Source organism: Homo sapiens, chromosome 4 (assembly GCF_000001405.40).
Source record: "Homo sapiens chromosome 4, GRCh38.p14 Primary Assembly".
In the NCBI taxonomy this organism is placed as follows: domain Eukaryota; kingdom Metazoa; phylum Chordata; class Mammalia; order Primates; family Hominidae; genus Homo; species Homo sapiens.
This window is the reverse complement of record NC_000004.12, coordinates 139,139,696-139,161,328: the sequence shown is the minus strand read 5'-3', so window position 1 is coordinate 139,161,328 and position 21,633 is coordinate 139,139,696. Positions and strand designations below refer to the sequence as shown.

At 41.3% G+C, this 21,633-nt stretch overlaps 1 protein-coding gene across 17 annotated transcripts in view, besides 5 other annotated features; it reads left to right on the top strand.

The window, feature by feature from the left end:
- The window catches only part of ELF2 (E74 like ETS transcription factor 2), a 120,696-nt gene that overhangs the window by 16,587 nt on the left and 82,476 nt on the right, over positions 1 to 21,633 (top strand). For 2 of the 17 annotated variants that reach the window (XM_047449739.1, XM_047449732.1), the window contains exon 1: positions 13,219 to 20,004. The exons of the other annotated variants lie outside the window; for them this stretch is intronic. The gene's annotated coding sequence lies outside the window, so the exon portion shown is untranslated. Of the gene's footprint in view, positions 1 to 13,218; positions 20,005 to 21,633 lie in introns of those variants that run through there. 17 annotated transcript variants of the gene reach the window in all.
- Positions 1,175 to 1,756: an enhancer, noted in NCBI's record as "OCT4-NANOG-H3K27ac hESC enhancer chr4:140080727-140081308 (GRCh37/hg19 assembly coordinates)". NCBI's record gives its function as "activates a minimal SCP1, AML or CMV promoter by ChIP-STARR-seq in naive and primed H9 embryonic stem cells {active_cell/tissue: H9 hESC(naive and primed)}" and the evidence as "EXISTENCE:reporter gene assay evidence [ECO:0000049][PMID:30033119]".
- Positions 1,757 to 2,340: an enhancer, noted in NCBI's record as "OCT4-NANOG-H3K27ac-H3K4me1 hESC enhancer chr4:140080143-140080726 (GRCh37/hg19 assembly coordinates)". NCBI's record gives its function as "activates a minimal SCP1, AML or CMV promoter by ChIP-STARR-seq in naive and primed H9 embryonic stem cells {active_cell/tissue: H9 hESC(naive and primed)}" and the evidence as "EXISTENCE:reporter gene assay evidence [ECO:0000049][PMID:30033119]".
- Positions 5,255 to 5,837: an enhancer, noted in NCBI's record as "H3K27ac-H3K4me1 hESC enhancer chr4:140076646-140077228 (GRCh37/hg19 assembly coordinates)". NCBI's record gives its function as "activates a minimal SCP1, AML or CMV promoter by ChIP-STARR-seq in naive H9 embryonic stem cells {active_cell/tissue: H9 hESC(naive)}" and the evidence as "EXISTENCE:reporter gene assay evidence [ECO:0000049][PMID:30033119]".
- Positions 5,838 to 6,420: an enhancer, noted in NCBI's record as "NANOG-H3K27ac-H3K4me1 hESC enhancer chr4:140076063-140076645 (GRCh37/hg19 assembly coordinates)". NCBI's record gives its function as "activates a minimal SCP1, AML or CMV promoter by ChIP-STARR-seq in naive H9 embryonic stem cells {active_cell/tissue: H9 hESC(naive)}" and the evidence as "EXISTENCE:reporter gene assay evidence [ECO:0000049][PMID:30033119]".
- Positions 8,752 to 9,335: an enhancer, noted in NCBI's record as "H3K27ac hESC enhancer chr4:140073148-140073731 (GRCh37/hg19 assembly coordinates)". NCBI's record gives its function as "activates a minimal SCP1, AML or CMV promoter by ChIP-STARR-seq in primed H9 embryonic stem cells {active_cell/tissue: H9 hESC(primed)}" and the evidence as "EXISTENCE:reporter gene assay evidence [ECO:0000049][PMID:30033119]".

The window sequence follows — 21,633 nt, the reverse complement described above, 5'->3', positions numbered from 1 at the left end:
AAAACCAGGCAAAAATGTATGCTAACAGTTCTGAAGATGTTCCTATTTTTATTTCATCAATAAATTTAAAACCAGCTTATTTATCAAAGATTTACTTAAATTATGTGAATTAAAAAGGCATTTGGGTTGATTCCTATATATTTTAACAATTTATGTAAGCACTCACTTATCTAAACCAATCTGAATAGAATTCCTCAAGGAATTTCTGGCTGTATACACAATACGCAACATAATATATGTACATAGGTATAAAACACTCCTAAACATATCTAGGCACACGTGTGTGTATACACACATGGAGACACACACAGAGAGATCTTACTGCATTCATTTTAGAATTTTATTTTTCTTTTATTTATTTATTTTGAGATGGAGTCTCACTCTGTTGCCGAAGCTGGACTGCAGTGGCACTGTCTCAGCTCACTGCAACCTCCACCTCCCGGGTTCAAGACATTCTTCTGTCTCAGCTTCTGGAGCAGCTGGGATTACAGGTGTGAGCCACTATGCCCGGCTAATTTTTGTATTTTTAGTAGAGTCGGGGTTTCAGCATGTTGACCAGGCTTGTCTCAAACTCCCGATCTCAAGTGATCCACCCGCCTCGGCCTCCCAAAATACTAGAATTACAGGTGTGAGCCACCACCCCTGGCCAATATGATAAAATATTTTAAATCTCCCGTATATTTTGTGAGTGAAAGACAGGGTCAGTGTTTCTTCCACTGACCCTTTTTCAAGATCATTCCTGATAATTATGGTTTTATTGTCCTCTAAAAGTTGCTGTGGGGTTGAAATTTATGTTTTGAGTTGTTTTACCTTGTCTATAACTTTCTGTAATCTTCCTCATCACTACCATCGACTGATCTTTAGGTCATGAAGTCTTGTCATCATACAGGATTACATATTACTTGTACTATGGTCTCCATGAAATAGTTTCTATTATTATTATTCACTTTTTACACATGACTCTGAGATCTGGAGAAGATAAATAACTTGCTGTGCAGAAAAGAGTTAACATAGTAGGTCTGAGATAGCTATTCTTAGAAAGGTCTGCTTGCAAGATTGGCCATTGGCTGGCATCTGAGAACTTGGCTCTCACAGTGTTCCCAGTAACTGACTACAGGCGCCCACCACCACGCCCAGCTAATTTTTTGTACTTTTAGTAGAGACAGGGTTTCACCGTGTTAGCCAGGATGGTCTCAATCTCCTGACCTCGTGATCTGCCCGCCTTGGCCTCCCAAAGTGCTGGGATTACAGGCGTGAGCCACTGCGCCTGGCCTGCAGGCTATGCTATAGTATCTTCCACATCTATCATTGAGGCTACCGCTCCGCCCCCCTCCACTACCTCTCAGTAAGCCAAAGTCATTGCCTTAACTTGAGCCCTCACTCTTGCAAAGGGACTACACGCGTCAATATTTATACTGACTCTAAATACGCCTTCCATATCTTGCACCACCATGCTGTTATATGGGCAGAAAGAGGATTCCTCACTACACAAGGGTCCTCTTTCATTAATGCCACTTTAATAAAAACTCTTCTCAAGGCTGCTTTATTTCCAAAGGAAGCTGGAGTCATTCACTGCAAAGGCCATCAAAAGGCATCAGATCTCATCGCTCAGGTCAAGGCTTACGCTGATAAGGTAGCTAAAAAAGCAGCCATCAAAAGGCATCAGATCCCATCATTTCAGGACAATGCTTATGCTGATAAGGTAGCTAAAAAAGCAGCCATCAAAAGGCATCAGATCCCATGGCTCAGGACAATGCTTATGCTGATAAGGTAGCTAAAAAAGCAGCTAGAGTTCCAACTTCTATCCCTCAGGGCAGTTTTTCTCCTTCTCATCTGGCCACTCCCACCTACTCCTCCATTGAAACTTCACCTATCAATCTCTTCCCACACAAGGCAAATGGTTCTTGGACCAAGGATCTCCTTCCAGCCTCACAGGCCCATTCTATTCTGTCATCATTTCATAACCTCTTCCATGTAGGTTACAAGCTGCTAGCCCATCTCTTAAAACGTCTCATTTCCTTTCTGTCGTGGAAATCTATCCTCAAGGAAATCATTGTTCAGTGTTCCATCTGCTATTCTACTACTCCTCAGGAATTTCTTAGGCCCCTTCCCTTCCCTACACATCAAGCTCGGGGGTTTGCCCCTGCCCAGGACTGGCAAATTGACTTTACTCACATGCCTCTTGGTCTAGGTGGACACTTTCACTGGATGGATAGAGACCTTTCCCACAGGGTCTGAGAAGGCCACCATGGTCATTTCTTCCCTTCTGTCAGACATAATTCCTCGGTTTGGCCTTCCCACCTCTCTGCAGTCCGATAACGGACCGGCCTTTATTAGTCAAATCACCCAAGCAGTTTCTCAGGCTCTTGGTATTCAGTGAAACTTTTGTACCTCTTACGGTCCTCAATCTTCAGGAAAGGTGAAACGACTAATTGTCTTTTAAAAACACACCTCACCAAGCTCAGCCTCCAACTTAAAAAAAAGGACTCTGTCAAGAATAGAGCCCAAAGACTTGCCAACCAAGCAAGTAATTACGCTAAACCCCCTTGGACTCCCTTGGAAACTCTCTAATTAGATGTCCTGAGTCCTCCCAATTCTTAGTCCTTTAATACCTGCTTTTTTCCTTCTCTTATTCCGTTTAGTTTTTCAATTCATACAAAACCGTATCCAGGCCATCACCAATAGTTCTGTACAATAAATGTTTCCATCACCAATCATTCTATATGACAAATGTTCCCTTTAACAACCCCACAATATCGCCCCTTACCACAAAATCTTCTTTCAGCTTAATCTCTCCCACTCTAGGTTCCCACGTCGCCCCTAATCCCGCTTGAAGCAGCCCTGAGAAACATTGCCCACTATCTCTCCATACCACCTCCAAAAATTTTCGCTGCCCCAACACTTTACCACTATTTTGTTTTATGTTATTTTTCTTATTAATATAAGAAGACAGGAATGTCAGGCCTCTGAGTCCAAGCTAAGCCATCATATCTCCTGTGACCTGCACGTATACATCCAGATGGCCTGAAGTAACTGAAGAATCACAAAAGAAGTGAAAATGGCCTGTTCCTGCCTTAATCGATGACATTACCTTGTGAAGTTCCTTCTTCTGGCTCATCCTGGCTCAAAAGCTCCCCCACTGAGCACCTGGTGACCCCCACCCCTGCCCGCCAGAGAACTACCGCCTTTGACTGTAATTTTCCATTACCTACCCAAATCCTATAAAACGTTCCCACCCCTATCTCCCTTCTCTGACTCTTTCTTCGGACTCAGCCCGCCTGCACCCAGGTGAAATAAACAGCCTTGTTGCTCACACAAAGCCTGTTTGGTGGTCTCTTCACACGGATGCGAGTTAAAGTTTTAACCTGTATTTCTATCCAGAGTATATTTAGAATCTTCTGATCCGTAGTCAGACGCGTTATCCATTGCGCCACTGGCCCCGAGTTTATCCAGAGTATATTTAGATGATACTTTGCTGTTCAATTTTCACCATCATAAAACAGGTTGAACAAATCGTCGTTGATTAGGTTATGCCTGGGAACCTGACTAGTCTAGTTCTTTGGTTGAAGATTTCTAGAAGTGTCAAAACGTGCCTGATAAAGGAAGCATCAAAATATCTCCAAAGCCCTGGGTACTGTGGCTCATGCCTGTAATTCCAGCACTTTGGGAGGCTGAGATGGGAGGATTGCTTGAAGCCAGGAGTTTCAGACCTGCCTGGGCAACAAATGAGACCCTATCTCTGCAAAAAATGAAAAAAACCTTAGTTGGGTTTGGTGGCATGTGCCTATAGTCCTAGCTACTCAGGAGCCTGAGGCAGGAGGATTGCTTGAGCCCAGGAGGTTGAGGCTGCAGTGAGCTGTAATGTGATGCCACTGCACTCCAGCCTGGTTGACAGAGTGAGACCCAGTATAAAAAAAAAAAATTATACAGAATTTTGATGATGTCACAAGTTATCTAAGTTCATTTCTTACCTCCGTGTGTGTGTATAAGAGAGAGAGATTAATGATATTTTAGTCAGTGATGGATCAGATACACAACAGTAGTCCTGTAAGATTATAATACCTTAGTTTTACTGTACCTTTTCTATATTCAAATATGTTTAGATACACAAATACTTTCCATTGTGTTAGAGTTGTCTATAGTATTCAGTATAGTAACATGCTGTACAGGTTTGGAGACTGGGAGCAATAAGCCATATTGTGTAGCCTAGGTGTGTAGGCAGGCTACACCATCTATGTCTGTGTAAGTACGCTCTATAAGGTTTGCACAATGACAAAATCCTTATGTCCAAAATTGCCTAAGGACCTAAGGATGCCTTTCTTAGGATATATTTCTGCCATTAAGCAATGCATCACTGTATGTGTATAGTACATAAGAATATATGTGTAAGATTAAGGCTGGGTGTGGTGGCTCATGCCTGAAATCCCAGCGCTTTGGGAGGCTGAAGAGGGTGGATCATTTGAGGTCAGGAGTTCGAGACCAGCCTGGCCAACATGGTGAAACCCCATCTCTACTAAAAATACAAAAATTAGCTGGGCATGGTATGTGCCTGTAATCCCAGCTACTTGGGAAGCTGAGGCAGAATTGCTTTAACACGTGAGGTGGAGGTTGCAGTGAGCTGAGATGGCACCACTGCACTCCAGCCTGGGTGATGGAGTGAGACTCTGTCTTTAACAACAACAGCAACAACAACAACAACAACAACAAAACAACAAATATATATATATATATCTATGAATGAACATGTATGTTAATTGGATTACTCAGTGTCAAGGCCGTGAATATTTAAGCTGTTATTAGTCATGGTATGAGACCATGTGTATACCACACAAGAATATATGTATAAGTTTGGCCGGGCATGGTGGCTAACGCCTGTAATCCCAGCACTTTGGGAGGCCAAGGTGGGTGGATCACGAGGTCAGGAGATTGAGACCATCCTGGCTAACACGGTGAAACCCAGTCTCTACTAAAAATACAAAAACAAAATTAGCCAGGCATGGTGGCGGGTGCCTGTAGTCCCAGCTACTCGGGAGGCTGAGGCAGGAGAATGGCGTGAACCCGGGAGGCGGAGCTTGCGGTGAGCTGAGATCGCGCCACTGCACTCCAGCCTGAGCAACAGAGCGAGACTCCGTCCCCCGACGACTCCCCCGCCAAAAAAAAAAGAATATATGTATAAAATTAATAACATGTTAACTGGATAACTCAGTGTCAAGGCCATGAGTAAATAAGGATTTTGAGATATTGTTAGTTATGGTATGAGACTCTTGAAATGAAAAGTTATTTTTATGATTGGCAAGTTATATCACTTTCCAATTAGCCTCTTCAATTTTTTCTTGTAAAATGAGCTGTAAGTTCTCTTCCAGATTAAAGAGCTTTCTTGCAACTTTTCTTATCCTGTTAATTTCTAGCATCATTTTTAAACATCTGGATTAATTATTTATTCCTAAAGTAAGTCTCATGATATGAGTGCTTGTTGCCAAAATTATTTATCTTCAGTTCTGGCTTATGAGCCTAAATTGTTAAAAACTATATAGTCCTTACACTTGGTTTTCCTCAAAACGACCTCATTCTCATTTTCAAAAGCGAATTCTTTCTTTAAACAATTCATTAGTTTACTTTCTATCCTTGTAAAATGCTGTGTTAATGTTTGTCTTAACAAATAAGAATGACATCTAAATTTTTCATGAGTTGTAATTAGATTATATTGCTTTTATCTTTTTCATTATTATTATTTATTATTATTATTTGTAGAGATGCAGTCTCACTATGTTGTCCAGGTTAGTCTCGAACTCCTGGACTCAAGTGATCCTCTTGCCTTGGCCTCCCCAAAGTCTTGGCCCTACAGGTGTGATACACCATCCTGGCCTTCTTAATTATTGTTTTCCGAGATGGGGACTTGCTGAATTGCTCAGGCTGGAGTGCAAGGGCTGTTCTGAGGCATGATTCCACTACTGATCAGCATAAGAGTTTTGACCTGCTCAGTTTCTGACCTGAGCTGGTTTACCTCTTCTTAGGCGACCTGGTGATCCCCCTCTCCTTGGAGGTCACCATACTGATGGTGAACTTTGTGTTGATATATGATTGGCGTAGTGAACTACAGCTTAGAACTCCTGGACTCAAGCAATCCTCCTGCCTCAGTATCTGTAGTAGCTGAGACTGCATGGGTGTGCCACCACATCTGGTACTATATTCTCATCTGAAGCTTTAGCAGTGTAATACAGCTCTGATGCTGCCCCTATACCATGTGAACCAAGAAGTATCTGAGACAGGTCTCAATCAATTTAGAAAGTTTATTTTGCCCAGATGAAGGATGCACATCTGGGAGGTAGGTTTGTGCCTTTCTCCGAAGATGATTTTGAGAGCTTCAATATTTGAAGGGGAAAGAGGAAGAAATTTTTAAAAGGTGTGGGTAGATAAGAGACAAGCAGTTGTATTCTTTTGAGTCTTTGATCAGCCTTTCACTGAATACACAATATACCTGTGAGAGGGGAGTAGAGGAATAGCCACTTAAGCCTTGTCTAGCTCAGCGAATCTGCATTTTTACATCAGAGGAAAAGTCACATGTGCATTGGTGTCAGGTTAGCAGAGGGATGACTTAGAACTCTTTTGTCCTGCACTCATGAAGATAAGCTATCAAAATACATTATCAGGGTAAAGTTCAACATAACCATTTTAGTGTAAAGATCTTGAGGCCCACAAGGAATTTCCTAGTAGGCAAATTGTGAGGGAAGTATGTAGCTTTTTTTTTTTTTTAATTGTTGTAGCTATCTTATTTGGGAATAAAATGGGAGGCAAGTTTGCCTGACACAGTTGCCAGCTTAGTTTTTCCTTTTGGCTTAGTGATTTGGAGGTCCTGAGATTTATTTTCCCTTTCACAACTAATATCTTAGGGTCTTGTATTATTAAAAAGATAATAACAGATCAAATGACATTCATTTAATGCTTATAGTGTGTCAGGTAGTTTATGTAAAGAATGAAAAGAACTAGATACGTCTACTTCTCAGAGTTGTTTTATACTATCTTATGGATAAGAAAATTTAAGTTAAAGGAGATTAAGTAACTGCCCAACATCAGGTAATTACTCAGCATTAAAGCCAAAACATAAAAAATATTTATTGAGCACCTATTGTGTTCTGAAGATACAGTGGCCGATAGACTTTTAACTCTTAAATCATACTAGCTCTTCAGTATTGTAACACAAAGAAAATGACTGAGGCAAGTTTGAATTTAGAGGTTTATTTTGCCAAGGTTGAGGATGTACCCAGGCAAAAGGAACACAAAAATCACAGAACAGCTGTGACATGTGCTTTTTCCAAAGAGGGTTTTGAGGGCTTCAACCTTTAAAGGGGAAAAAGGGGACAGTAGGGAAAGGGGAAAGAAAAAATAAAGAGGGGGAGAGTATGGTCACATTCCTGTGAGCTCACTAAATCCACATGTTGCATGTGAAAAGGAGGGGGTAGACTGAAAGTCAACTATGCATTCTTCTGGCACTCTATGAATCTGCATTTTACATAAGATAAAGTAAACAGAGGAATCAGTCAAGTATGCCTTTGTTTTGGGTGAGTGGAGGAATGACTTCTAGTCTTGTGTTTGTCCTGTACCTGTGAAGATAAGCTTTTAATTTATATTGTCAGGGTGAAATTAAACAGAATTCTGTTTTAGGGTAAAGATCTTGGGCCCAGAAGGCATTTACCTGTGAGCAAATTGTGAAAGAGGCCCCCTGGTGAGGTATCTGGCCTTTTATCTTTGCAGCTATCTATTTAGGAACAAAGTGGGAGGCAGTTTTGCGTGACTCAGTTTCTAAGCTTAACTTTTCCCTTTGGGATAGTGAGTTTGGAGGTCCCAAGATTTTTTTCCCTTTATTTATTTATTTATTTATTTATTTTTATTTTTTGAGACAGGGTCTCCCTCTGTTACTCAGGCTGGAGTGCAGTGGCACAATCTCAGCTCACAGCAACCTCTGCCTCCCAGGCTCAAGCGATCCTCCCACCTCAGCCTCCTGAGTAGCTGGGACTACAGACGTGTGCCACCGTGTCTGACTAATTTTTGTATTTTTAGTAGAGATGGGGTCTCCCCATGTTGCCCACGCTGGCCTTGAATTCTTGGGGTCAAGCAATCTGCCTTCCTTGACCTCCTAAAGTGCTGGGATTACAGGCGTGAGCCACTGTGCCTGGCCTTTTCTTCTCATTTTATTATCCTTTCATAGTATATAGAGTATTGTCAAAATAGTCTTTATGTAATAAAGGGGATAATTATGCCTATTTTACAGGGCTGTTGTAAGGATGGAAAGAATGCACAAAACTGCTTGTTTCAATAACTACAAAAATGTATGAGACTTTTGAGGCAGGAGAATGGCAGTGAGCAGAGATTGCACCACTGCACTTCAGCCTGGGCGACAGACCAAGACTCTGTCTCAAAAAAAAAAAAAAAAAAAAAAGTATGACACTATTGTTATTGATGCTGTATTTATATTAATATTACAACTATATATATATATATAAAATTCCTGTTGGACTTGATAATTTCAAAAGGGAAACAGGACAACTAAAATGTGAATTAGAAGTACTTAAAGCATTGATTTCATTATTAAAAATATTTAATTTCATCAGTTAAATGACTAAGGGTAATGGAGCTTTTTCATTGATCCTGTAGGCAGGAACCAGCTGTGAATTAAACTATACATAAGTGTAAATTACAAGGCTCTGCCTGGTGGCTCACACCTGTAATCCCAGCACTTTGGCTGGCTGAGGCAGGAGAATTGTTTGGGCCCAGGAGTTCAAGACCAACCTGGGCAACATAGGGAGACCCCATCTCTATAGAATAAAAAAAATTAGCTGGGCATGGTGGTGTATGCCTGTGGTCCCAGCTACTTGTGCAGAGGTGGGAGGATCACTTGAGCTTGGGAGGTTAAGGCTGCAGTGAGCCGTGATTGAGCCATTGCATTCCAGCCTGGGCAACAGAGTGAGATCCCATTTCAAAAAAAAAAAAATGGTGTAGACTACAAATTACAATTCTTCTCATTCAGTGTCACGATAATACTGTTAATATTTGAATACAGATGTCTCCTTAATTCTAATTTTGTACATTGTCCTTTTTAAAGTCAAGTTTACTGAAGTTTAATTTACATGTAGTAAAATTCACTCTTATATTTTTATGAGTGGCAAATTTATACTATTTTGCAGTCACCACCACAATGAAGATAATACAATATTTCTTTCACCCCAGAGAGTTTCCTTGTACCCTTTTGAGATTAAATCCTTCCAACTGATTTATTTTCTATTTCTATAATTTTATCTTTTCTTGAATGTCATATAAATAGAGTCACCCTTTCTGTTTCTGATCTGTTAGGTGTTTCAGATATGATTGGTGTAATAGCAAGTAAGATAATTGACCCTCATGCTGATACAGCTTGCTCACAAATTAGGACTTGTATTAAGAAGCAGTTAAATCAGAAAAAAGGACAACCTGTTGGAAAATTATAAAAAGAGAATTTGTCAAAGGGTTAGTAAATAGTATTTAATTTTCATATTTTTATGACAAACTATTCAGTTTTCATGACAAACTTTGAAGAACCTATTCACGTGATCAGTTTTCACATATTGGGTGGGAAATTAATAAAATCAGTACCCTTTTTAACCTCCTCTTTGGACCCTAGTTATATAAAATTAGGTACTTTTAAATCCTTGATTCATGACACAAATAATAGCTCAAGGATGGCAGTTGCCTATTTTTAATAATATAACAAACACATATGAATCCATCATTCTGCGTGAGAACTAGAACCTTGACAAGAACTCGCATCAGATTTACCCATGTGGGCCTTAATATAAAACAGAATTTGCATTGCCTATGTTTCTTATTAATTAGTAGGAATCCCCCAATCCCCACCTTTTTGGGGGTGGGAGAGGCAAATAACTTTTGCCAGTCTCTTGATTTTCAGCCTTGTTTTGGTTTATGTTGTTATAAACCAAACAATAAAATTTAAACAGTTTTGATATAGTCAAAACTAATTCTTTGCTTTTTGCTTTCGGTGTCTCATCTAATAATTTTTTCTTAATTGTGAGTTCATGAAGATATTCTATATTTTCTTCTGATTTTTAGGAATATTTCATATATTTAGGTCTCTTCTGTATCTGTAATTTATTTTGTGATTGATGAGAGGCAGTAATTAAAAATTTTAAATCTTGTATGGCTGATCATTTGTACCAGCACAATTTATTAAATAGCTCTCTTTTTCTTTCTTTCTTTCTTTCTTTCTTTCTTTCTTTCTTTCTTTCTTTCTTTCTTTCTTTCTTTTTTTTTTTTGAGATGGAGCCTCGTTCCGTCACCTAAGCTGGAGTGCAGTGGTGCGATCTCGGCTCACTGCAAGCTCGCCTCCCGGGTTCACGCCATTCTCCTGCCTCAGTCTCCTGAGTAGCTGGGACTACAGGCGCCCGCCACCAAGCCCGGCTAATTTTTTTGTGTTTTATTTAGTAGAGACGGGTTTCACCGTGTTAGCGAGGATGGTCTCAATCTCCTGACCTTGTGATCCACACGCCTCAGCCTCCCAAAGTGCTGGGATTACAGGCATGAGCCACCACACCCAGCTAGCTCTCTTTTTCATTGATTTTAATTTACCTCTTTCCTGTATTAAGTTTTCAATTTGCATGGGTCTTTTTCTGGCCTCTATATTGTGTTCCATTGGTATATTTGAGTATATCTACACCATTACCTTATTGCCTAGTTAGTATAGACTACAGCAGTTCTTGAGGAGGGTCTTGGCTGACTTTTGCCCTTTGCTCATTCACATATTTTTTTTTTTTTTTTTTTTGAGACAGGGTCTCACTCTGTCACCCAGGGAGGACTACACTGGTGTGATCACGGCTTACTGCAGCCTCAATCTCCTGGGCTCAAGTGGTTCTCCCACCTCAGCCGGGACTACAGGTGTGCACCACCATGCCCAGCTAATTTTTTTTTTTTTTGAGATGCAGTTTTGCTGTTGTTGCCCAGGCTGGAATGCAGTGGTGTGATCTCGGCTTACTGCAACCTCTGCCACCCGGGTTCAAGCAATTCTCTTGCCTCAGCCTCCTGAGTAGCTGGGATTACAGGCACCTGCCACCATGCTGGGCTAATTTTTTGTATTTTTAGTAGAGACATTTTGTATTTTTATTAGTATTTTTAGGGGTTTTGCCATGTTGGCCAGGCTGGTCTCGAATGCCTGACCTCAGGTGAGCCACCTGCTTCGGCCTCCCAAAGTATTGGGATTACAGGCGTGAGCCACTGTGCCTGGCCACGCCCAGCTAATTTTTATATTTTTTATAGAGATGGGGTTTCACCATGTTGCCCAGACTGGGCTCAAGCTCCTGGCCTGAAATGATCCACCCACCTCGGCCTTCGTAAGTGCTGTGACTAGAGGTGTGAGCTACTGTGCCTGACCCACATAGATTGTTTACTATCTTTGTCAAGATTTTTCTAAAACCCTCTTGGGATTTTTAACTGGAAATACATTGAATTTTTTGATAGATTAATTTGGTGAGAATTGACATCCTTAAGACAGTGAGTATACCTACCTATGAACATGGTATTTGCCCATGTAGAATTTTTTTCAAGGAATTTTATGATTTTCTTTATAAAAATCATATACACCCTTTCGGTTAGATTTATTCTTAGGTTTGTAGTTTTTATGGTTATGGTAAATGACACTGTTTAGTTTTTTATTTTTATTTGTATTTTTTTGAGACGGAGTCTTGCTCTGTCGCCCAGGCTGGAGTGCAGTGGTGCAATCTTGGCTCACTGCAACCTCTGCCTCCTGGATTCAAGTGATTTGCCTGCCTCAGCCTCTCAAGTAGCTGGGACCACAAGCTCATGCCACCACGCCTAGCTATAGCATTTTTGTATTTTTAGTGGAGGTGGGGTTTCACCATGTTGGCCAGGCTGGTCTCAAACTCCTGACCTCACAATCCACCTGCCTCGGCATCCCAAAGTGATGGGATTACAGGCGTGAGCCACCATGCCCAGAGATAAATGATATTCTTTTAAAAAATTATACTCTGTTGCTGGCCTATAGAAAAACAGCTGATTTTCATCTATTGATTTATGTCCAGAGACTTAGCAAACCCTCTTTTTTCTTCTAATATCTGAAGACTATTTTAAATTTCCTATGAGTATATTTTACGTGATACATCATTTCTTCCTTTCCAATTCCTATGCCGTTTATTTGCTTTTCTTACCGAATTGGTTAGGATTGTCAGTACAAGTGTTGAATTAAGGTGGTAATTGTAGGTAAATGTGTTTGTTCTCAATACTGGGAGAAAGTTTAAAATATCTTGTTTTTGAGTCTTGGTTGAATTTTTTTCTTAAATTTTAAAAGGATGTTGAATTTTATGAAGACATTTGTACCGCATCTACCAAAATGATGTATTAGTTACCTATTGCTGCATAACAAATTACCTAAACATTTTGTTGGTGAGGATATGAAGAACTGGGTATCTTCAAATGCTGCTGGTAGGAATGTGAAATGGTGTAGCCACTTTGGAAAAGCTTGTCATTTCCTCAAAATGTTAAACATACAGTTACTGTGTTCTAGCACTTCTTCTCCTGGCTATATATGCGAAAGAAATGAAAACATTCATATAGAACATATGTCTTGTACATGAATTTTCAGAATAGCATTCACAATGGTAAAAAAAAAAAAGTAGAAACATCTCAAATGTGCATCGGTGGATGAATAGAGAAATGTGATATGTCTATACAATAGGATATTACTCAGCAATAAAAAGAAATTAAATACTAACAGATGTTACATGTAAATGAAAGGAACCTTGAAAACTTTATTGTAAGTGAAAGAAGCCAGTCACAAAAGACCACATAGTAGGCTGGGTATGATGGCTCAGGCCTGCAATCACAGCACTTTGGGAGGCCAAGGCAGGAGGAGCCCAGGTGTTCACTTGAGCCCAGGAATTTGAGATCAGCCTGGGCAACATAATGAAGCCCTGTCTCTACAAAAAAAAAAAAAAAAAAAAAAAAAAAAAAATTAGCCAGGTATGACTTCACCTGTCTGTAGTCCTAGCTACTGTAGAGGCCCTGAGGTAGGAGGATCACTTGAGCCCAGGAGGTCAAGGCTGCAGTGGGCAGCCTTGTCTCCCCACCCCCCCAAAAAAATCACATATTATATAATTATATTCATATGAAATGGCCAGAACAGACAGCTCTCTGGAGATAGAAAGTACATTAATTTTTTTTTTTTTTTAAGGTACAGGGTCTTGGCTGGGCACGGTGGCTCATGCCTGTAATCCCTGCATTTTGGGAGGCTGAGGCAGGCGGATCACCTGAAGTCAAGAGTTTGCGACCAGCCTGATCAACATGGAGAAACCCTGTCTCTACTAAAAATACAAAATTAGCTGGGCCTGGTGGCGCATGCCTGTAATCCCAGCTACTCGGGAGGCTGAGACAGGAGAATCGCTTGAACCTGGGAGGCGGAGGTTGCGGTGAGCCGAGATCGTGCCATTGCACTCCAGCCTGGGCAACAAGAGTGAAACTCCATCTCAGGAAAAAAAAAAAAAAAAAAAAAATCTCTGGCTGGGTGCCGTGGCTGACGCCTGTAATCCCAGCACTTTGGGAGGCCGAGGCAGGTAACTCATGAGGTCAGGAGTTCAAGACCAGCCTGGTCAAGATGGTGAAACCCCGTCTCTACTAAAAATACAAAAAAAAATTAGCTGGGCGCAGTGGCAGGTGCCTGTAATCCCAGCTACTTGGGAGGCTGAGGCAAGAGAATGGCTTGAAGCCAGGGGAAGGAGGTTGCCGTGAGCCGAGATCGCGCCACTGCTCTCCAGCCTAGGCGACAGAGTGAGACACTGTCTTAACAAAAAAAAATCTCCATACTGTTTTGCATAGAGGTTGCACTAATTTACATTTCCACTAGCAGTGCATAAGTGTTCCCTTTTCACCAAGTCCATGCCAATATCTATTGTCTTTTGTCTTAATAATGGCCATTCTTGCAGGAGTAAGATGGTGTGTCATTGTGGTTTTAATTTGCATTTCCCTGAATGATTAGTGATATTGAGCACTTTTTCATTTATGTGTTGGCCAGTTGTATATCTTCTTTTGAGAAATGTTTGTTCATGTCATTTTCCCACTTTTTCATGAGATTATTTTTTTTCTTGCTGATTTGTTTGAGCTCCCTGTGGATTCTGGACGTTGGTCCTTTGTTGGATGCATAGTTGGCGAATATTTTCTCCCATTCTGTGGGTTGTCTCTTTACTCTGATGATGATGCTGATTATTATTTTTTGCTGTACAGAAGCCTTTTAGTTTAATTAGGTCCCATTTATTTATTTTTGTTTTAGTTGCATTTGCTTTTGGGGTCTTAGTCATGAATTCTTTGCCTAGGCCAATGTCCAGAAGAATTTTTTTCTAGGTTATCTTCTAGGACTTTTATGGTTTTAGGTCTTATATTTAAATCTTTGATCTATCTTGAGTTGATGTTTGTATAAGATGAGAGACAGGGATCCAGTTTCATTTTTCTACTTGTGGCTAGCCAGTTTTCTCAGCACCATTTATTAAATAAATAGGGTGTCCTTTCCCCAATTTATGTTTTTCATGCTTTGTTGAAGAGAGTTGGTTGTGGATATTTGGTTTTATTTCTGGATTCTTTAATCTGTTCCATTGGTCAATGTGTCTATTTTTATACCAGTACCATGCTGTTTTGTTAACTATAGCCTGGTATAATTTGAAGTCCAATAATGTGATGCCTTCAGATTTGTTGTTTTTGTTTAGGATTGCTTTGGCTATTCAGCCTCTTTTTTGGTTTCATAGGAATTTTAGGATTTTCTTTCTCTAAATCTGTGAAAAAGGATGTTGCTGTTTTGATCAGATTTGTATTGAATCTGTAGATTGCTTTAGATGGTATGGTCATTTTCATGATATTGATTCTTCCAATCCATGAGCATGGGATGTGTTTCCATTTGTTTGTGTTATCTATGGTTTCTTTCATCAGTGTTTGTAGTTCTTCTTGTAGAGATCTTTCACCCCCTTGGTTAAGTATATTCCTAGGTATTTTATATATATTTTTGCAGCTGTTATAAAATGGATTGAGTTCTTAATTTGATTCTCAGCTTGGTCGTTGTTGTATAGCAGTGCTACTGGATTTGTGTTCATTGACTTTGTAACCTAAGATTTTACTAAATTCACTTATCAAATCTAATAGTCTTTGGAGGAATCTTCAGCATTTTGTAGGTATACGATCATATCATCAGCAAACAGCGATAGTTTGACTTCCTGTTTTCCAATTTGGATGCCCTTTATTTCTTTCTCATGCCTGATTGCTCTGGCCAGGACTTAAAGTACTATGTTGAAAAGAAGTGATTAAAGTGAGCATCCTTGTCTTATTCCAGTTCTCAGGGGGAATGCTTGCAACTTTTTCCCATTCAGTATGCTTTGTCGTATATGACTTTTATTATTTTGAGATAATTCCCTTCTGTGCCTTGTTTTTTGGGTGTTTTTATCATAAAGGGATACTTGATTTTATTGAATGTTTTTTCTGCATCTATTGAAACAATCATGTGGTTTTTGTTTTTAATTGTTTATGTGATATATCACATTTGTTGACTTGCATATGTTAAACCATCCCTGCATTCCTGGGATTAAACCCACTTGATCATGGTGTATTATCTTTTTGATGTGCCATTTGATTTGGTTAGCTAGTATTTTGTTGAGGATTTTTACATCTATGTTCATCAGGGATATTGGTCTGTAGTTTTCTTTCTTTTTGTTACATCCTTTCCTGGCTTTGGTATCAGGGTGATACTGACTTCATAGAATGAAGAAGAACAGGTTGCTTCCTTGATGTGGTGCTGTCCCCCTTGCCCTAGGAGTAGGAGTCCCTGAGAGCCAGACTACTGTGAGTACTGCTGCTCCTCTGGGTCTAGCTGCCCAGTGGGGTTACCACATTCCAGGCTGATTCTGGGGAATGTCTGCAAGGGATCCAGTGATGTTATCTGTCCTCAAGTCTCCCAGCAATGTGTACCAGCACCAGCTCTCATAGGGGTAACAGGGGAATGACATACGTTGTGAGATTCCTTGGTTGTAAATAGCCGTAGTGCGTTGGCTTTCTTAAATGCTGGTTGTAGTATTAATAAACTGGTCATGTGGACAGACTCAGGACATCCTGGTTAGCCAGGGTACTGCAGACAGTGCTGATAACTGGGTCATGCATAAGTTTTCTCCTTCTTGGGTGCAATGTTATTTTACCTGTAGTTGCTGTAGTAAACTGTGTCTGTTGGCCTCCAGCCAGGAGGTGGTGCTTGCAAAAGAGTGCCAGCTGTGGTTGAAGTGGTGGGATATGTGCTTGTCTTATGTTACCCATGGGAGGTATTTTGGTTTATCAGATGATGGGTGAGGCCATAGGGCTCCCCAAAGTTTCTGTCTTTTGTGTTAACCTACCAGGGCAGGTGGAGGGTCAAAGCCAGGTGGGGGGCTTGGTCAGGCAGGCCTGCTCTTTGGCTCTGCATGTGTGGTGTAAGCACAGATCCATGTTGGGCTTTTGGAGCCATTCCCTGGCCACTGGGGTAATGTTCCAGGAAAAAGCTTAGCTGCCTCTGCTTCACAGAAGAGTTCATGCAGGGAGTGGGGAGTAGCAGGTGGGAGTAAGTCTCATCCAGCTCCTACACACTTGGCAAGGCAAGTCTCTCACTCAGAGTGTTCACTAGCAGCAGCTAGCTAAATTCCAAGCTGTTTACATACAGGAACCTCAGCTTTCAGGCCACGCCCCTTTTCATCCACTGGCAATGCCAGAGCACCCAACTTCTGTGTCTGTGGTTACAGCTTACTTCCCAGTCATCCGCCCAGTTCAGCCAAGGCAGTTCATCCCCACTTGAGATTATATTTTGAATTTCAAATTGGGAGCTTCTTTCAACCTGCAACCACTGCCTCAGTTGGTTGGCAGAACTTTGTGAACTCTCCTGTGACACAGAATCAGGAATAGCTTCCCTTGGTTTGCGTTGGAGACCGGGAATACGCACAAGGCTCTTCCCGCCCCTGGTGCTTCTTGTATATTCTCCACTGCTCCCTATATTAGTTTTAGCACTGGGTGGGGTTAAGGCCTTCCTCTGTGGGCCGGATTTCTAGTTTTCATAGTGGGGGTGTATACTCTGGAGGTAATCTCTCTCCCTCTCACACTCTGGGGACTTACAGTTTTTTACCTGGCTCATGGTGTAGACTGCAGCCTGCCCCTTCTTTCAAAGGATCTGTGGTTTCCGTTTTTCCATTAAGTTCCTGCATTGCTTCTTTGAAAAAAGTTCACAGTTTGAGTCTTTACCCACTATTTTTTCTTTCCAAGTGGAAGAGGCATGCCAATACTACCTCCAATCTGCCATCTTGAGGAGGGTGGGAATTTTTTTTTTAATTAAAATTTAAATTTTTGTAGGCTGATTTTGTGGCAAGGATCAGGCTAAGGTGTATTTAAGGTCTTCTCAGGTCTTTTCTGAGCCTGGGCATGTGTGGTCACTTTCCACATTTTTTCATATATATAGTTTTTGAATGTTCTAGTCTTTATTTTAGTTTATTTTTTATTTTGAGGCAGAGTCTTGCTCTGTTGCCCGGGCTGGATTGCAGTGGCTCGATCTTGGCTCACTGCAACCTCCGCCTCCCGAGCTCGAGCTCCTGCCTCAGCCTCCCGAGTAACTGGGATTACAGGCGCCTGCCACCACGCTGGGCTATTTTTTGTATTTTTAGTAGAGACGGGGTTTCACTGTGTTGGCCAGGCTGGCCTTGAACTCCTAACCTCAAGTGATCTTGGCCCACCTTGGCCTCCCAAAGTGCAGGGATTACAGATGTGAGCCACTGTGCCCAGCCAAATGTCCTGGTCTTTAATGTGTGGCTCTCAAAAGGGGAAAAAGAGTAAAATGGGGTTTGCTGGCCTTTTAAGTCCCCTAGAAGTGACTTCAGCCAGAGGGGGAGAAGCTTGCAACAGTGAAGGGAGGCATAACAATAATATCTACTCATTTCTTTGTGTGCTCCTCTGTGATCAGAAGCAATAATCAGTGATCAGAGCACAGATCTCTGATATTTGGAAAATAGTCCTTTTTGCTTACCATGGCCCTCACAAGTTGCATGCAGACTGTTCCAGGAACACATGCACAGCTGTCTACCCTCGAGTTGGGGGATGGGTGGTAGCTGATACTGTGCTGAGAGCTAGAATGACCGAAATTAACCACAGTTTATTGTTCAAGCCTTCCCTTGGAGGTTGTAAGCCTTTAGCCAGGGTTCCAAAATAGTTACATTAGGTAGATTCTGCCAGTGCAATTGTCTAGATAGGGATACAGATTCCTGGTGCATCCTACTCCATCATCTGAGAATCCTCCAGCCTGGATTCATTCTTGACTTCTTTCTTTCTCTCATAGCAGTCAATCCACATCAATTTTGCTTGCAAATGTCATCCTTTTATCTGCAAAATACATCTAAAGATTGATCACTTTTTTTTTTTTTTGAGACAAGGTCTCACTCTGTCGCCCAAACTGGAGTGCAGTAGAGAGATCTTGGATCACTGCAGCTTCAACCTGCCCAGCGTCCCGAGTAGCTGGGACAAAGGGGTGTGCCATCATGCTTGGCTATGATCACTTTTTCACTACCTCCAGAACTACCACTCTGGTCCCAGCCTGTATCACTTCTCATCTCATTATGGGTTTGTGCAAAAGTAGTTTGCATTACATTAAAAGTAATGGCAAAACTGCAATTACTTTTGCACAACATATATTATTGCAGCCTGCTAACTGACCCCCGTTTCTGCTGTTGTCCCCTTGTCTGTTCTCAACCCAGCATCTGAATGATCCTTATAATAATCAGATCATCTTTTTGTGTAAAACCTTTCTTCTCTCTGAAGTCAAAGTCCTTACAGGGGACCTACTTGGCTCCCTTCCCTTACCTTTCTGTCCTCTTCTTCAACTATTCTTTCTTCCTCTTGCTCACTTCACTTCAGCTGTATTGGGTCCCCTTGCCGGTCCTTTAACTAGTCAGGCATACATCCTCTTGAGGGTGTTGAATTTCTTTTGACTAGAAGGCTCTTGTGCCAGGCATTGCCACAACTCACTTCTACTTTTGGGTTTTTACTCATATGTCACTTTTTTAGTGAGTCCTTATCTGACCACTCAATCTGAATTGGCAGCTCTCCCTGCCAAATAATCCCTATCTCTTTGGTTAATTTAACTCCTTAGCCTTCATCACCATCTACAGGTATGGTGTACTATTTTATTTTTTTCTCTCTCCTCTGCAGTGTAAGATCCATAAAAACAGGGACTTTGCCTTTATTCACTACTGGACCCGGGCACCTAAAATTGTGCTATCATATAATAGTGCTCATTTAGTGTTTGTGTGATTGAATTAATGAATGGAGTGCTTGGGTTATCCTGGCATCAGTGCTTAGTATTTATGTATACCTTATCTAATTTCAATGAAGTAGAGGCAATAAAACATCTAGTAGACAAATCTGGAAGAGAGAGTTGAGTGAAGCTGTAGGAGTAGATTTCATAGCTTAGAAAGAGTGTAAAGAATCTGAAGAGAAAAGGACTAGGGATGGGATCCTGGAAACACCCGCCTGTAAGGGTTGACCAGAGAGCAGCACTGTCCTAAGACTTCACCAACTGGCAACAAAAGACCTGTGCTTTAAAGGTCCTCATATGGCCTTCCTCCAGCAGCTACAACCCTACCCATAGAGTGAAGACTTTGTGGGGGGCCAAGGTGACTAGACTAGTCTACCTGGTCTCTTTCTAGATCAGTCTTTGAATATTTGATCCTAGAATTTCCTGCCCATGTGTCCCTTCACAACTGTCTTCTCTGATTCTTTCCTCTCTTGACTGTACAACACATATGGGATCCCCTGTGTTTAAGGGATGGCCAAGGAGCAGCTGTTTGCAGTCATGTGACCAGAGCTTGGACCTGTAGGCTTTATATATGTGTGCATATGAAGTCCTTCGTATAAAGTGGAGCTAAAAGTGGGAAGAGAAAAGGAGTTGGCTGCAGACAAGGGGAAGGGGTATGGATTTTCCTTCCTATGTCCCTACGTAACATGAAGGGAACCTGAGAACTCAAAAATAGAACTTGGCCTTTCAGGTTATTATTAGTCAAGATAGAAGGATGGAATAATAATTTAACAGCTTGATTTAGAACTTTTAAAAATATTTAGACACATGGTATGTAGGCTTCCATTTGTATTCTTGTCCCAGGCCCCTTGAAAATGAGGGTTGAGCCTGCAAGGGGGAATTGAAAGGGAGTAGCCAGAGAGGGAAAAGATAAATTCAAGGTAGAGTTTCAAGAAGGGAGTGATTAACAGTGTCAGATGCTTCAGAGGCAGCAAGTCCTATGAAGACAGAAATGTATCCATTGGATTCTACAAGCAGAATTTAGTAAAAGTTTCAGTTGAGTGGGGATGGATGCCAAACTTTGATAGAAGGAGGAGTGCTTGAGAAATTAGAAAGTGGAGACAAGAGTATAAAATATAAAAGATTTCTTATCTAGAAACTTACCTGAGAAAGGAAGGAACTGGAGCAGTAGCTGGAAGGGTATGCAGGATAATGGAAGAGGACTTTTCCTTTTTTTTTTTTTTTGAGACAGGGTCTTGCTCTGTCACCCAGGCTTGAGTGCAGTGGCAGGATCACAGCTCACTGTGGCCTCAACCTCCTGGGCTCAAGCGGTCCTCCCACCTCAGCCTACCAAGTAGCTGGGACTACAGGTTTGCACTACCAGGCCCAGCTAAGTTTTTTATTTTTTGTAGAGACAGGGGTTTCCCTATGTTGGCCAGGCTGGTGTGGAGCTCCTGGGCTCAAGTGATCTTCTGCCTTCCTCTCCCAAAGTGTTGGGATTACAGGCCTGAGCCACCTTGCCCAGCCAACTTTTCTACTTTTAAGATGAGAGGATCTTGCAAATGCTTATATGTTGAGGGAAAGAAGTCCAATGGTAGTATGAGAAGGTTAAGGAAAAAGGGAATAATTGATGGAACAAGGCCTACGATCAAGTGCTTAAGTCAATACATTAGCCTTTGAAAGAAGGCGGACTATTTGAGGAGGCTTGGGAGTTAGAAGTAGGGCTTGGGATGTTTGGATGGGTGCTGATGCTAAGTTGGTGGGGTGACATAGCAGGAACATGTCTAATAGTGACTCAGGAGGCTGAGGTGGCAGAATCACCTGAGGCCAGGAGTTCCAGATCAGACTGGGTAACATAGCAATATCTTATATTTAAAAATAAAAGTAAAAAGTAAGAAATACTGACCTGAGCATGGTGGCATATGCCTATAGTCCCAGCTCCTCAGGAGGTTGAGGCAGAAGGATAGCTTGAGCCCAGGAATTTGAGGCTGCAGTGAGCCGTGATCTCACCACTGCGATCCAGCCTTGGTGACAAGAGTGAGACCCCAACTCTAAAAAATTTTTTTTCCTTAAACATTGTTTTATAGTAGTTTTTTGGGCTAGTCCTATTTTTCAAACTTGATTTTATACTCCTGGGGAGCAGGGGTTATACCTGTAGCCACTTACTAAGAACCTGTTATTAGAACTTGCCCAATGGAGAAAAAAAAAAGAACCTGTTTGAAATGCAGCCCATAATATGGAGCATAGGCTTCATACGTTGATTCTGTCCTCACTCAATATTTGTTATGTAGTGGTGAATTAAA